The sequence below is a fragment of the Homo sapiens genome, chromosome 2 (genome assembly GCF_000001405.40).
Source record: "Homo sapiens chromosome 2, GRCh38.p14 Primary Assembly".
NCBI classification, from domain to species: Eukaryota; Metazoa; Chordata; class Mammalia; order Primates; family Hominidae; genus Homo; species Homo sapiens.
This window is the reverse complement of record NC_000002.12, coordinates 85,052,152-85,068,968: the sequence shown is the minus strand read 5'-3', so window position 1 is coordinate 85,068,968 and position 16,817 is coordinate 85,052,152. Positions and strand designations below refer to the sequence as shown.

The 16,817-nt window shown below is 44.1% G+C and overlaps 1 protein-coding gene and 1 long non-coding RNA gene across 4 annotated transcripts in view; one reads left to right on the top strand and one right to left on the bottom strand.

The window, feature by feature from the left end:
- The first annotated feature begins 1,621 nt into the window (after positions 1 to 1,621).
- On the top strand, positions 1,622 to 4,859 carry LINC01964 (long intergenic non-protein coding RNA 1964). The gene is made up of 2 exons (NR_146453.1): positions 1,622 to 4,186; positions 4,290 to 4,859. It is a non-coding gene; the product is annotated as a long intergenic non-protein coding RNA 1964 (long non-coding RNA).
- Positions 4,860 to 9,496: 4,637 nt separating this feature from the next.
- KCMF1 (potassium channel modulatory factor 1) overlaps positions 9,497 to 16,817 on the bottom strand; it is an 88,312-nt gene continuing 80,991 nt past the window's right edge. For all 3 annotated transcript variants that reach the window (XM_047445126.1, NM_020122.5, XM_006712052.4), the window contains one exon: positions 9,497 to 15,821. In XM_047445126.1, coding sequence (XP_047301082.1) covers positions 15,560 to 15,821 — 262 coding nt within the window. In that variant the 3' untranslated portion in view covers positions 9,497 to 15,559. The remainder of the gene's footprint in view (positions 15,822 to 16,817) is intronic.

Sequence of the window (16,817 nt, the reverse complement as noted above, 5' to 3'; positions counted from 1 at the left end):
CTGTGAGCCCTAGGATTTATTTTCCTTTTTATGGTAGGAGGCCTAACCGGCACTGTACTAGCCAACTCATCATTAGACATTGTGTTATATGACAGATACTATGTTGTAGCCCACTTCCACTACGTCTTATTAATAGGAGCCATATTCACTATTATAGGGGGCTTTAGGAGTTCAAGACCAGCCTGGCAAACATGATGTAACCCTGTCTCTACTAAAAATACACAAAAAATTAGCCAGGCGTGGTGGTGCGCGCCTGTAGTCCCAGCTATTCAGGAGGCTGAGGTATGAGAATCGCTTGAACCTGGGAGAAGGAGGTTGCAGTGAGCTGAGATCGCCCCACTGCACTCCAGCCTGGGCGACAGAGCGAGACAGTGGTGTGTGCCTATAGTCCCATCTACTTGGGAGGCTGAGGTGGAAGGATATCTCCAGGCTGGGATGTCAAGGCTGCAGTGAGCTGAGTTCGTGCCACTGCACTCCAGTCTGGGCAACAGAGCGAGACCTTGTCTCAAGGGAAATAAAAAAAGAAATCAATTCAGTAACAAGGTAAACTGCCAACCCAATTAAAATATGTACAAAATAGACATTTCACCAAAGAGGATATACAAATAACTATAAGCACATGAAAGATGCTCAATATAGTCAATTTGGAAAAGCAAATTTAATCCACATTGAGAACCACTACACACCCATTCAAACTGCTATAATGAAAAGAACTGTTGAGATTAGGCCAACTACCAAGAATCTCTATTTCATATACATTTGGGAACTGAGGAAATGCCCACTGCTCAATGGACATATTCTGAGCTGGAGTTTAGCCAGAACTCCATTTATACCTAGTCGCTATATGCTCTTATTCCGTTTTTTTGTTTTTTGTTTTTTGTTTTTAGAGACAGCTTCTTGCTCTGTGGCCCAGGCTGGGCTGGAGTACCCTGACATGATCATAGGTCACTGCAGCCTTGAACTCCTGGGTTTAAGTGGTCCTCCCGCCTCGCCTCCTGAGTAGCTGGAACTGCGGGCGTGCACCACCACACCTGGCTAATTTTAAAATTTTTTGTAGAGATAGGTTCTTCCTATACTGCCCGGGCTGGTCTCCAACTCCTGGCCTCAAGTGATCCTCCCCTCTTAATCTCTCAAAGTGCTGAGATTATAGGTATGCGCCACTGTGCCCAGCCTGTATGTGCCTAATTCTAACAGGGGCCATGATTACACTTGGGATCTAAGGTTATTCATATCTACTATAAGTCTGTGTCTAATTGTCCTCAAGATGTTTAGTATTTTTTTTCCCCAGTGCTCAATTACCCAAGTAAATAGTCTTAGGTCCCTTTGAGGGAAGGCCTGAAGGAGTCATTACATGTTCAATTGCCACGTGTCGCAGGATTCTTCCTGCTGGAGTTGCAGGCGCTGCTTCAATCAGTGGGTTCTGGGTTCAAAAACTGACCCAGTGTAGAAACTGGGCAAAGGAGAGCGACTTTTTATTGGAGCAACTATCCTCAGCTTCATCATCACCCATCCTTGATTTCTTTTGATGGTTCAATTTGAATAGCACTCTGTTGGCTAATGCAAGTATTTCGCCGTTTGTTTATACCAAGTTCTATTAACCATCTCCAGAAGTGTCTTCTGAACTGACCGTTAGCGCCACTCCCACCGTGCTGCTCGCTACGATAATCGCGCCACCACTTGTCCTCCGTAGCTCTGGAGTCCTGGCCTGCCGGTTGCTAACTGGGCCACTTTACAGAGGCAGAAGCAAGCTCAGGGAGGGTAAACAGGAAGGGTAACTAATTTTCCTGGGATTACACAGTCGGTAAATAATGGAGGCAGCATCGACCCCAGGCAGTCTGGCCCCAGACACCACACTTTTACCCAATTCCCACAGCTGCCTGGAAAATAAATAGAAATCAAATAGATGTTAACAAGGACCTTTGGGAGTTGTCCGGCGTTTGGGCAACGGATTGCTTTTCTGTTTCATGTTAGTCCACCGCCCTCACGTGGCCCCGTCCTGAACTTCACCCTTGTTTGGTCCCAAACTGTAAAGACCCTCACGGTGCTGGGAAACACAGCCCTGCTGGCCTCGGACTGCAGGACAGAATCCTTACCCCTCCTGGGCCTCCGTTGTGTTCTTTCCAAAATGGGATAATGGTAGCAGGTTAATGGAAATAATTAAATAAAATAGTCCATCTAAATTCCTGGATCGAACGAAGGGTCCAATAAACATTAGCTGTGCTGTTGTAGTGCTCAGTGCCTCTCTCTCAAAAGCGGGTGGCAACAGACACCCTCACACCTTCGCTGTAATGAGAGCTCTGCAAAGCCAACTGCAAATATTAGGAATCAGTGTCCTCACGAGGCCAACCCCTTTCCAAGGCTGCTTGGAAAATGCTTTGCTAGACTAGCTTGGATCTTGCTGGCTTGACTCAGATCACAGTTGAGCAAATGTGCAGAAGAGGAAGAGATGAGGGAAGGCCTGGCTCAGTGTGCTCAGAGCTTCGATTTTGAGACTGTTCGGGAGGAAAAGTTCCTCACCAGACAGTGCTCTGCTACTCTTAAAGCTAGAAGGACAGAAAGATTTCTCCACAGTTGGGGTCATGGAAATGTGTATTTTCTCCAAACCTTTTTTTCACTGAACCAGTTGTTGGAGCCTTCCATTTGAGACCTTGTGATGCCTTCATGGACATTATTTCTGCTCATCCACACAGCCAGCAGGGACTTGTGCAGCAGGAGGGGCAGGCTCAGAGTTAAGCAGCTGCTCCAACGTCACACGGCTAGCCTGGGCCTGATCTGGAGCTTGTCCCAGATCTGGAGCTTCCCAGGTTTGGACCTGGGTCACTAGAGCAGAGCCTCCTTGCCTCTTCGTGGATATGGAGCCAATTCACTGTGGCCGATCACCAGCCTCACAGACTAAGGGGGCAGCCCTGCCCCTGCCTACGCCCCTACCACTGCTGAAGCCATCTCCTTGCCGACAAACACAAGCAGAAACTTCTCAGGATCTGCTGCCTCTTGTTCCAAGGATTAGGCGAGCTTCTGTCTTGAGGACAGAAGAGGCAGCTGGAAGATCAGGGTTGTGGTTGAAGAAGGCCTAGGTAAGGTGCCATGACTCAAATGTCCCTAATGGGTGAGGGCTTTCAACTTTTGGAAACTGCAGGGGCAATTTTGGAGACAATGTTTAACTATAGTGTAAAGACTGCCAGTTTAATTTCTAATCCTGAAGAAATGTATATGTGGTCACAGGCTAATATTTCTAAAAGTCATCGAGTGACTTTACGTGTCCTAGCCCCATATTTCCCCAAAGATGACTGTCTAAATGCCCCTAAGAGAGGCTTTGGAGTTCCTTGACTTCTCTGAATTGTTGTAGTAAAGATAAGGCAGAAATTTTGAAGAGATCAGAAAGAAAAACTTTAGAACAAATCTCGTCTTTTCTAGAACTGTCTTCATTTTAATTTACTGTCATATCAGATAACCTGCCAGATGGCTTTTACTGTGTCTGAATTGAGTCAGACCAGCTGGGATGGGATCCTGCCTCCAGCAGTGGTGGGCCCCAGGAACATTTATTTCATCTCAGCATCAAGCATTCCCAAAGCAGCAGGGGCTAACGGGGCCGTAGAGATTACCCCTGCAGCTGTGGGGCTGGCCAGCCACACTTCCATAGATTTGTCTGTAGGGAGACATTGAGCCACATGGATTTGGACAGGTTGTTACATACGCAGACAGCAAAAGCTAAATCAGCATGACATGTCGCTCCTTGTGTCCCTCGTCCCACAGGAGGACACAAGGCTGGAAGGTTGGGACACCAGATGGCATGGACAGTGGGTTGCCCTGCTGTGCAGCAGCCAGCTCTCAACTGCAACCGAGCACTCTACAGACTTAGCAGGCACCTGCAGACGTAACTTGTGGGAGTGGGGAGAGAGGAGGAAAGCGCTGCGCTCAACAGAAACTAGGAAGATCGATGAGAAATGGCCTTGCAGCAGTTCCAAAAGGGTGGGGAGGCAGGTGAGACCACTCACGGCAGCGATGCACAGGGCCACTTAACGCCCCTTGCTCCATGAGGAGTTGCAGGGTGTTCCACCAAGACGCAGGTCAGGTTGCCGTCGAGCCCGGTGGAGATGTGCAGGGTTGCTGGGCACCTGGCAGAGCTGGTCCCTGACACGCACTTTTATCATCAGTAAAATGGGGATGTTAAGAATACCTACCGCAGGTATGTTTGACTTTTTTTTTTTTTTTGAGATAAACTTTACATAAAATTCACCATTTTAACCATTTCGAAGTGTACAAATTAGTGGCTTTTCATATCTTCACAGAGTTATGCAACCGTCGCCATTATCTAATTCGAGAACCTCTTCAACACTCCAGAAAGAAACCCAGTGCACACGAGCTGCCACTCCCCACTCTCTCCTTGCCCAACCCCTGGCAACCACTAATCCACTTTCTGTGTCCATGGATTTGCCTGTTCTGGGAATTTCATTTAAATGGAATCATATACTCTGTGGCGTTTTGCGACTGACTTTTTTCACTTACCATGTTTGCAAAGTTCATCCAAGTTGCAGCATGCGTCAGTACATCATTCTTTTTTATGGCCGCATAATAGTCCATTGTGTAGATCATGTTTGTTTAACCTTTCATCAGTGAATGGACATTTGGGTTGTTTCCTCTTTTCAGTTATTATGAATGATGCTGTTCTGAGCATGAATGTAGGAGGTTTTGTGTGAACATATGTTTTCAATTCTCTTGGATATACCTGGGAGTGGAATTGCTGGGTCACATGGTAATTCTATGTTTAATGTTTTGAGGAACTGCCAAATTGTTTTCCACAGGGACTGAGTATTTTATATTGGTATGCACTTTTGAAATAATAAAAAACACTCTTAACAGAGTCTGGCCCACACCATTCATTCTTTTATCCCATAAATATTTATGGAGCACTTACCGTGTGCCATGCCTTATAGACATGGAGATACAAGGGTGACTAATGGACAGCCCTGCCCTCAGGAAGCTGGCATCTATGTGTGTGTGTATGTAGGGGTGTGTGTGTGTGTGTGTGTGTGCACATAATGTGTATATGGGGTAGGGAGGATGTCAGATGGTGATAAGAGTTATGGAGAAACAGTCCAGGTGCAGTGTCTTACGCCTGTAATCCCAGCACTTTGAGAAGCTGAGGTGGGTGGATCACCTGAGGTCAGGAGTTCGAGACCAGCCTGGCCAACATGGTGAAACCCTGTCTCTACTAAAAATACAAAAATTAGTTGGGTGTGGTGGTGGGTGCCTGTAATTCCAGCTACTTGGGAGGCTGAGGCAGGAGAATAGCTGGAACCCTGGAGGTGGGGCTGGGGTGTACCGGGTGGGCCTGGGATCCCTGTTTTCATTTGGGTAGTCAGAGAAGGCCTCACCGACAAAGAGAAGGAGGCAAGGAAATATGGATCTTCCAAGAAAAGGGGACTGCAAAGGCAAAAGTCCCAGAGCTGTGGCATGCCCGAGGGACAGCAAGGTGGTCAGTGAGGCTTGGGGGAGGGAATAGAGTAGCAGGGGATGAACCCCAAAAAGGAATAAGAGCCACAGCCTGTGGGAGCCAGGGGCTGTGGTGAGGACTCCGCCTTTCCTCTGAGAGGGAGGAGCGGCAGAGGGATTGGAGGTGTAGGTTCTGACAAGATTACCCAGGTGCTGTGCTGGGACATGGAAGTGCGGGGGCAGGCATGCCACTTGGAAGCTATAGCGATGACCCTGTGGGGATATGATGGAGGCCTGGGCCAGCGGCAGCAGTGAAGATGGTGGGAAGGGGGCAGTTTCTGGAAAAGTGTGGAAATAGAGACAGCGGGATCTGCTGACGAAATGGATGTGAGGTTCAAGAAAAAGAGTAGAAAATGATTCCAACAGGTTTTGGACTGAGCAACTGGGAAGCTGTGCTATTTAGTGAGCTGGGGACCTCTTTGCTTTATTCACTGGAGAACCCCAAGTGCCTAGAACAGTGCCAGGCACTTAGTAGATGCCCAAGAAACTGACTGAGTAAATGAAGAGGTGGTGGGATCCATAGTAAAGCCTCAGTTGATGTTTATTCTTTGATACCTATGGTCTCCTGACCTAGGGTGATTCCCGTCCTTCCCCAGCTCTTGAACTCCTCAGATAAAGAAACTTGAGCTTCCACGATTTTTACCAGGTCACTGACCCTCATGGAGTTTTGCCAGAATGACTTAGAAGTATTTGAAGCAGGATGGGGCTAATTAAATCAATGTGCTGTGTTTGCGTAGAAGTTATCTGGCTCTGTCTTTGCTCCCAAGCAAATCCCACTCTTTCTTTCCTTATTTATTTATTTATTTTTTGACAGAGTCTCACTGTGTTGCCCAGGCCGGAGTGCAGTGGCGCGATCTTGGCTCACTGCAACCTCTGCCTTCCTCAAGTGATTCTCATGCCTCAGCCTCCTGAGTAGTGGGGGTTACAGTCACCCACCAATGCCCCTGGCTAATTTTTTGTACTTTTAGTAGAGATAGGGTTTCACCATGTTGGCCAGGTTGGTCTTGAACTCCTGTCTTCAAGTGATCTGCCCGCCTTGGCCTCCCAAAGTGCTGGGATTACAGCTATGAGCCACTGCTCCTGGCCCAAATTCCACTATTGGTCACCTTTGGGTCCCTGTTATGTTGGTTGCCTTCTGAGGCACCTGCCATTTTTTTATGGTTACTTCACACCAGGCACTGTATTAGCACATTATTTAATACTATGATTAGCTACATTTAAGAATGAGACAATAGGCATACTGTTTAATTAAAGTTAATTAACTTGGCCAAGATCACACAGCTAGTAAGCGGTAGGGCTAAGATTGAAACTCACATCTGTGCTTGTAACCACAGCACTTTATCTTCTCCCTGTTCTGGGTGGATATTTACTTGTCAGGAAGGTTTCCATGGGAACTCCTGCACCCAGAGAGCAATTAGACCTTTCCAATTCTAAGCTTTAATTCCAGAGTTCCATTCTCCAGGTTTTCCCTAACTTCACCTCCAACCCAGCTTGATTTTGAGTCCCATCCACTGCCCTTGACACAAAAATGTGCATCTCCTTATCCCCACCGTGAATTCCAAGTTCTAACATCTGATCAAGCAAGACCACCATTTTCCCTTTTTCTTTCACAGCGCAGGCAATGTCAGTAATCCAGGAAATTCCGCAAATTTTACCTCCCCAGAATTGACCTACCAATTATTACCCATGACTTGCCTCCTAGTCCAAGCATGATCTGGGTACTTTTGAGGTAAGAGAGAGAATCCCAAGAGAGAGAACCCTAATTTCTAATACAGAAGATTCACATCCATTCTCATGATTCATTGTAATTTTTCCAACCACTTCTTTTTACAAACTTAATTCCATTCTTTCTCCCAGCCAACATCTGTTATGGCTGGCTACAGAATTTATAAGCATCTAAAAGCTATCTTACAAACACTTCATCAAATGCTGTCTACTTGAAATGTAACAATGTCTAAAATGTGTGCCTTACAACAGTATAAGATGTGAAAAGTGCTATTTGTTGCAACCTTTACATTTTAGGATTCGTGGAGTAATCAACCAACCCACCCCAATCCTTGGTGGCCAGACTCTACCAGAGCTGAAGGCAGTTTGAAAGACAGCTGTGTGAAAAGAATGTGTTGCCCAGGACCACTGGACAAGCGCCTGCGAGTGGACATGGTGGGTTTTGGTTTTCTTAGGTGGACTTGTTCGGGGCTTTATAACCATAGAATGGTGAACACTTGGAAAATACTATGAAAGGATTAAAAGTTTTATCGAAATATGCCAAAAGTGTTCTTAAAAAGATCCGGCCAGGCATGGTGGCTCATGCCTGTAATCCCAGCACTTTGGGAGGCCAAGGTGGGCAAATCGCTTGAGCCCAGGAATTTGAGACCAGGCTGGGCAACATGGTGAAACCCCATCTCTACAAAAAACACAAAAATTAGCTGGGTATGGTGGCATGTGCCTGTAGCTCCCAGCTACTCGGGAGGCAGAGGTGGGAGGATAGCTTGAGTTCAGGAGATCTAGGCTGCAGTGAGCCGAGATTGCACCACTGCACTCCAGCCTGGGAGACAGAGTGAGACCCTGTCTTAAAAAAAAAAAAAAAATACAATCCACCATCCTCCTCAGAACACAGTGACTTGGGGGACAACCCTAGAGCCCTAGGCTGGAGTGAAAGGCATTTGTTCAGGTAGATACTAAAAGGTAATTTTCACTACTTGCTTTTAAACCTGCCATTGGCTTGGCCGGGCACGGTCGTTCATTCCTGTAATCCCAGCACTTAGGGAGGCTGAGGTGGGCGGATCACCTGAGGTGAGGAGTATGAGACCAGCCTGGCCAACATAGTGAAACCCCGTCTCTCCTAAAAAACAAAAAATTTGCTGGATGTGGTGGCGCGGGCCTGTAGTCCCAGCTACTCAGGAAGCTGAGGCAGAAGAATCGCTTGAATCCGGGAGGTGGAGGTTGCAGTGAGCCGAGATTGCGCCACTGCACTCCAGCATGGGCGACAGAGTGAGACTCCGTCTCAAAAACAAAACAAACAAACACCAAACAAACACACAAAACAAAAAAAACCCTGCCATTGGCTAGAGGCAGTTGAGTGTTCAAAATGGGGAAAAACAACCACCAAAAGCCAACAGGAACTCTGAAGAGGGAAAAAAAAAATGGATAAGGAACAAGTCTTGTCCCTTCCGGTCCTGAGTGGGTGGGGCTTATGTTCATGCTGAAGTTCAGGGGGCTCCTTCTCAAGTCCTTCTTTCTAGTCTTGCCCTGTGAAGCTGTAAGTAGAATCAGTATTCCAAAGTCCTTTTCTGGACTGAGGAGAGAGGCCACATGTTCACCCCTCAGGCTCAGACACCAGCAACAGTGGTAACCAGGGTGGTCCTGAAAATTCCGTAGGCAAATGGAACTGAAACTGCAGATGTCACTGGAAGCATTAATAAAACACACACACACACACACACACACACACACACACACACACACACAGAAACAGGAGAGGACGCAGACAGGGACAATAGGAGTAATGGTATTTCACAGGGGATTTAAAACTATAGAAATGAGGCCAGGTGTGGTGGCTCACGCTTGTAATCCCAGCATTTTGGGAGGCCGAGGCAGGTGGATCACCTGAGGTTAGGAGTTTGAGACCAGCCTGACCAACATGGTGAAACCCCGTCTCTACTAAAAATACAAATACAAAATACAAAATACTAAAAATACAAAAAAGTAGCTGGGCGTGGTGGCACACATCTGTAATCCCAGCTACTTGGGAGGCTGAGGCAGGAGAATCATTTGAACCCAGAAGGCGGAGATTGCAGTGAGCCGAGATAGTGCCACTGCACTCCAGCCTGGGCAACAAGAGCAAAACTCCATCTCAAAAAACAAAACAAAACAAAAACTATAGAAATGCCGAAACACCAGTGCCACAGATGACCAAGTCTGTGTTGAACATTACTGACATCTTAAGATGACACAACACTGAAGTCACACTCAGCTATCTCAGTGAATGCAATGGAAACTGAGGTGCACAACACAAAGTTTATTCAAATCAGAAAACAGATAAGCTTCATGACAGGTGGTGATGTTATAAAAGGTAATCTATATCAAGGGTTCAGTACAAATTAGTCTCGGAGCCTGATACAATATGCAATTTATTCTAAAGTACTGTATCGTCAGTGTGATATTTTCCAAGGTAAGTCTGAATCGTGAGTGGTCAGCACACATGGTGGCTGCTATCCGATAGGGCAATTCAACAGACACTGCTAATTAGCATACTATATATTTAAAAATGGACTTTTATGGGGAAACTAGTGTCTTGTTAATTGTCATGAAAGGTTCTCGTGGGCAAAATTAAATGGATTCAAGGCTGGCCAGAATAGCTTTCATGACTAGGGGGTAAGAATCCATGAACTCTCCTTCAGTCCCTAGCGACAGTGGCTGAGGCCTGTGTCTGTTGGTCCAGTCCACTTGCCAATACAGGAGTATTATAGAATCTTACCCCAGGAATATTGCTGCATCTACCTCAAGAAAACCTTATATACAGGGTGTGGTCTCCTTATATACAAGGAGAGAGAGCTGGGACTCCATCCAGCTTACAGAAGAGGATGCTTCTGGGCTGGCTTCACTATTAAATGAATATGGATCTCTTATGTGTGAGGCAGATTCCAAATGCTGTCAGTCTAATTTGGTAGATTTAAGGGAGCAGCTCACTCACCAGCTCTGATTGGTCACGTGACTGACCAAACGCAACCGGCTTGATGACCTTTGAAAACGTTTCAATTGTGTAAGGGAGAAAGGCTCTTTTAGAAAATTCTTACAGGGGAAGTCTGTAAAAATCGCAGTTGGTAAATAATGTTTAGACAAAGCTTCGTACCTACTGGGAACTCAAAAAGTATGTATGAATGAGAGAGCAGCGAACTGATGGTTTCTATAGACAGAGGAGCCAACATTCTACAGGCTACATGCACTGTCTGCCAAGGACACAGTCAGATGCTAGGTTCCCTGTGGTTAGTAAAGGCCTCCTTGAAGAGAAACATCATTATCCAGGCCTGTGGAAAGCAGCCCCAGGCTGTGCACATGCGGCCCACATGGGTTTTCTTTCTTTTTTTTTTGTTTTGAGGAGAGTCTCACTGTGTCGCCCAGGCTGGAGTGCAGTGGCGCAATCTCGGCTCACTGCAACCTCCGCCTCCCGGGTTCAAGCAATTCTCTGCCTCAGCCTCCCGAGTAGCAGGAATTACAGGCATCTGCCACCAAGCCCAGCTAATTTTCGTATTTTTAGTAGAGATGGGGTTTCACCATCTTGGCCAGGCTGGTCCTGAACTAACCTCGTGATCCACCCGCCTTGGCCTCCCAAAGTGCTGGGATTACAGGCGTGAGCCACCACACCCGGCCCCACATGGGTTTTCAAATCAGCCATGTGCAGCCCTCATCCATATCTGTGCACTATCTGTACAGCAAGTAAAGTTACCTGGGACAGTCAGACTTAAGGGTTCTTTTTAATTGATCTCTTTAGTTGCTGTAAAGTTAACTGACTTACTAAAGTTAACATGAGGACTTGAGAGCATTCTCCTTTGTGATTTGAGGAACCCATGTTATTAGGCATTACCCACCTAATAGCAACCGACTAAAATGTGACGTGGAGGTTCAGGATCAACTTCTCTGAGACGAATCGTCTTTCAAAACTTGAATTTGCTAACCAAGTTGAGGAAGTGGCAACAAACATCAAGTCACATTTTATTCGAGGTCTGCTGCAGGGTTCCTTAAATAACGAATGTATGCATTTATAGAACACTGACAGAAATGGGTTGAAAAACTACAGAAACCAAGAGGCAAGAGTACGAATTAGAAACAAACGTTGTGTAAGCACAGTTGAAGCCGATAAGCACAGGGAATTAGATTTTTATACTATTCAGAAAAACAGTCACTTGAATTTGGCTTTGGAATACCGTAATGACTGACTCAGACATAGCCATGTTTAATAGCACAGAATTTCATGACATCGTCACAACCTGAAAGTCTGCAGACTGCTGCTCCATCCTGCACTCTAACCCTAACCTCTACCCACTCCAGGCCAGGCATAGGGTTTCAATTACTGTTGAGGCTGAAATGAGATGAGATGAGAGGCTCCTCCCCAGCCTCTTCCCTTCCACCTGCCCACCCCCATCCCACTTCCGGTCTCAAGGAGAGAACTGTTTTAGTGTCTAGTTGAGCTTTAGAAAGAGCACAGATAACCGTAACTGTTTTCCAGCATGAACACCAACTTTCGCGTATAATTCTGGGATAATTTCGTACCTAGTGTTTTAATTTTTTTTTTTTTTGAGACAGAGTCTTGCACCGTCGCCCGGGCTGGAGTGCAATGGCGGCGTGATCTCAGCTCACTGCAACCTCTGCCTCCCAGGTTCAAGCGATTCTCCTGCCTCAGCCTCCCGAGTAGCTGGGATTACAGGTGCCTGCCACCATGCCCAGCTAACTTTTTGTATTTTTTAGTAGAGATGGGGTTTCACTATGCTGGCCAAAATGGTCTCAAACTCGACCTCGTGATCCACCCGCCTCGGCCTCGCAAAGTGCTGGGATTACAGGCGTGAGCCACCACGCTCAGCCGTGTTTTAATTTTTACTGCACATGAAACCAATATTGCATGTGCCCCTTAAACTGTGCATGCAAACTAAGAAACAGGCATGTCATATATAGTAAACACGGCTGCAGGGCTTCTCTACAAAACTGTTAAGAGCTTTTAGCACCCATTCCTCCATCACACTTAGTTTTTTACACATGCCTGTATCAGTAAGCCATATCAGACCCCACTTACAGTAGACTTAATATTGGTACTGAACACTGTTACAGGAATCCCATTCAAAAGATTCTTTTCTGCAGCCACCTGCTACCGTAACCTCTCTAGTATTCTCCTTCTACCCCCCAACCCACTTTGTCCTTAACTAGAGCTATGAACTATTGATATATGTGCTTACCCCAACATCCATGGAGTAAATATATAAAGCGTTAATATTTGCAGTGAGGAGCCTAGCTTTTTTCCTGGAAACTAAGGCTTGGACGTATCAAGAGAACTCTGAACCTGTTACCCGTTCTTTTAACTGTGGCCCACAGACCGGAAAAAAACACAAAAGCCTTGGTGACCTTTGAAAATCTGTCAGCATATTATTGAAATTTCTAATATTGAGAGGGAAAATGGGGGGTGGGGATAATGGGCTGGATTTTTTTTGTTACGTCTATTATTTCTAATAGTGTAATCTGCTATCCTACTTCATTTCTCTGGGGGCCACAGGGAGAGAAGTTTTCTCTTACTTTACCTGAGCCTAATTATAAGAATCCACTACTTTGTTAGTAGCAAACCTAGGTTCTACTTCTGTGGATTTTTTTTTTTTTAACAAAACAATGCAATATAAATACAAAGATTTCACGGTAGCCAACCACAGAAATTCTGTCTTATGATTGCAGCCATACAAGGAAGCACAGTTATTTCTACTTGTTCAGAGCTGAAATTAAACTTCTTCCAGAGCACCTCGAGGGGAAAGATTTAAATGATTTCTAAACAGGAAGTAAAGACAAGCACTGTAGAACATTTATAAACTTATATCCTAGACACTCAAAACTCAACGAAACAAAAAATTCTCAAAATTCAGGATCTGGTCCTTAGAAATTTGAAGGTGCTGCCAAAATAAACAGTGGTATATTTTGATTTTGTCTCCATCAAAGTCTTTGCAATTAATTTTTATTCAATAGTACATCCAGTAATAAGATTTTCATTCAGAAACTAAAGAAAAAGGACACAAGAATTTCAAGGGCTTGAATATATTTTTATATTGATATTCTGTGTCGTTCTACCCTAAAATAATACATTATTGATTACATACAGGATGAGGTGAGGTATTTGTAAAATATCTGGTAAAAAATAATTAATATACAGTATTCTACATGAGATGGAATCTTATGACTCCTTAGGTCTTCTGCAGTGTTAAAAGTGATCATCTAAATTAAACTGCTCTGAATGGACTTACAGTTGTTCCCTAAAACCATGTTAAAAAATGAAGGCTTTTACATTTTCCCAGAATTTGTGCAGAAAAGGGAAAGTACATATAATTGGCATTTATTTCTCACATCCAAAATAATGCATTCACACAAAACCAGGATCTCCCATGTTTAGCATAAAAAGAAAAAAAATACTGGATTAGAGATATAAAATCTCAGAGTAATGGTTAGGTTAATCCACTAACACCAAAGAAATTCAAGTGGTCAACAGTCTTGAAAATGCTTTATTGAAATGTGTGACTTATGTGCAGATGTGTTTGAAAGACCACAGCTTGAAAACTGATTTTTGAAACTTCTCAACAACCAAATGAAAAAAAATGAAAATCCCTAATGGGCTTGACTTCTAGTGTAACCAGAAGCCTGGTGTAAAGTTTTCCTTTAAACATTATCCATTACAGAACTAAAGAAAACAAAGCTATTGTATTTGGAAATCGTTGGAGTTTGAAGTTTCAGAGGAGAAGCAACAGTTTTTCAGACATGTAGGGTGACTTCTTTTTTGGTTACATTTGGATGAACATGGACTTCACAGTTCTCGGAAGAACACCGGAGGGGTGTTCAAGTCTGTATGCTTGTCATGTTGAAGAAACGGAGATACACGGACAGGAAAGGAAAAGGATGACAGGAGAAAGAGAGGAGACTTTGAAAAGGGCTCAGAGAAAAGAGAACTGGAACGAGACATGATTAGGTTAAGTCTAGTTATAAATTTATCAGAAGCTGTGCGCACCTTTTTAAAAGTCCTAAATTTACATTCCAAAAACTGCCCTCCCAACCCCCAAACCCGCTGTCCCTGCCTTGGAGCTATTGTGAAAGTCTATGCACAAAAACTGAAACAGGAAATAAAAAATAACCCGGCCCTTCCAAACCCCAAAACAAACCCAAAAAAAGCTGTACATTTTTTTTACACATAGGATTAATAATATAGGCATATAGGTGGCATGATTCAATTAAAAGGCTTTACTTTTTATGCCAGAAAAAACCCAATAAATAAAAGGTGCTAAAATTAGCATTAAGAATTTGGTTGTAATATACTGACAAATCTGGGAAGGCAAATCCTCAAAGCTCCCCTGATACTGATCTGTCTCAGCAAACTACAAAGCAAATACATAAATAATGCAAAATATGATTGAGAATGTGAGATTTTTAAAAACAAAGACAACATAATTCAGGTTAACTCTGTTGAACAGTCAATAAATGAAATTCATCTACACCTGAATAAAACATATTTAACAATTGAAAAAATTTTAAACAACCACAAAAAGTAAAAACTTTAAACAAACATGAACAGGATTTGTTTTTAGGGCACACAAAGGCCCCTGCAGCAGATTCCAACAGTAGCTTTACTGGTGTGTCTTCTACAGATGAGTTAAAGAGACAGGCTGAGCTCCACACAGGCAAGATGACTAACAGGGCGACAGGACAGTCACACAGGGCGGAGTGCCACACCCGGCTATAATCCCCAGATTCCACTGCAGAGCTGGCTTTGTGCGTAGGAGGCACACAAAGAAAGGTGATTCAGGCAGACATTATTCAAAAGCTACTTCGTCGTGTAACCATTGAATAATGTTTGGGAAAGCTTTGGGCTTTGTATTTTTTTTTTAAGTTTTACTCCTTGTATTTAACTTCTTAAATAACAAGGTCACTAAAACTCATGCACGCTGCAAAAAACCTCATGCAGTAGTTAAGGTAAACCATCCAAGCAGTTTTTATTCATTAATATTCATAAATACACACAGCAGCTTCATTAGAGATTTCAATTTTCCTCTTCAGTTTGAATGTGGAGTATTAGGAGAGCCTTTTGCATGTCAAGGTACAGGAAGCAGAGATCACCCCTGCACTGCTACCTACATTTACCTGCTAGAAGTAAAAATTAGTTAAGTGGAAATGATTATCATATATATTTTCTCTCTTCCTTTTGAATGTACACAATGTAACAAGAGTGACAGACCTGAAATTACAATCACCAAACAAACCCAAGATAGTTGTTGTCCACTTTCATTGGCAAATACAGCACAGAGGACATTGTCTGCGAATTGGGATGTCATCAAAGAGGAGGTGGTGGAGGCTCATTTCCTTTATTACTCTCTTTTAAATTTAGGTTTTCTAAAGCAACATCTAAAGGCATAATATCTACACAGCCCATAGCACCAAAATCTGCCATCTCCCCCCGATCATCCTCATCTGAGGATGAGCTCTCTTCACGCACTAAAGTGGACAGAAGGAGCTCTTGGACAAACAGGCTGCGGTCTGCACGCTCGCTTTCCATGGACTGGCGCTCCGTTTCAGACATTTTAGGATCATTCAACCTGTGTAAGTTAAAAAGAAAAGACCTTATTGTTAAAAAGTCAATGAACAATGGCATGGCCAATTTCTACAGTGCTCTCCACTGTGAAGTTTTACAGGTGGCAAAATTCAGAATGAGACATTGCTGGAATACTTGGCTGTAATTTATCCTTAATTGTGTTGAGACGAATTCCCCACACTTGTTGCAATACTGTTACCTGGAGGTGCAAATCTATGCTTTAATTAGACTCAATGAGAAAAAAAAAGACATTTAGACTTTTTCCACTCCAGAGAAAGCTAGGTGAAAATTTTCTAAGGAAAACAGGATTTCTTACAGATTAGATGCTTGGGAAAGTATCTAACCAGAATTTCATCTGGGGGTAAATAAAAAGAGGAAAATAAAACACAAAAACAAAATCTGCAGTGAACAGAATATTCAACTGAAAAATATCCTAAGATTTCCTCTGACTTTTCTCTATTACTCTATTTAATTCTTCTTGGTATATGCAGAAGCTAGAAAGGGCAAGAAAACACATACATACAAACTCCTACATTTCTTCTACCAAGGACCTACAGTGTAGCAGGGCAGACACAAGGTCTACCTGCCTGACTTGCTCCCCTGATGCATGTACTTATGAGATCTGGGCTATGCTGGGAAACCTGGCTCATCTGCACAGAGACTAGACAAATTTCTTGATGAAATATAACATTTAGGATATAAATGAAACTGCAAGGCTTGTGAGGATCTTCAAGTTGGGGTTAGCAAAATGAACTGGTCCCACTGTCAAAAGATTAGATCTGGCCAGGCACGGTGGCTCATGACTGTAATCCCAGCACTTTGGGAGGCCAAGGCGGGCGGATCACCTGAGGTCAGGAGTTTGAGACCAGCCTGGCTAATGTGGTGAAACCCCATTTCTACTAAAAATACAAAAAATTAGCCAGGTGTGGGGGTGCGTGCCTATAATCCCAGCTACTCGGGAGGCTGAAGTAGGAGAATCGCTTAAACCTGGGAGGCGGTG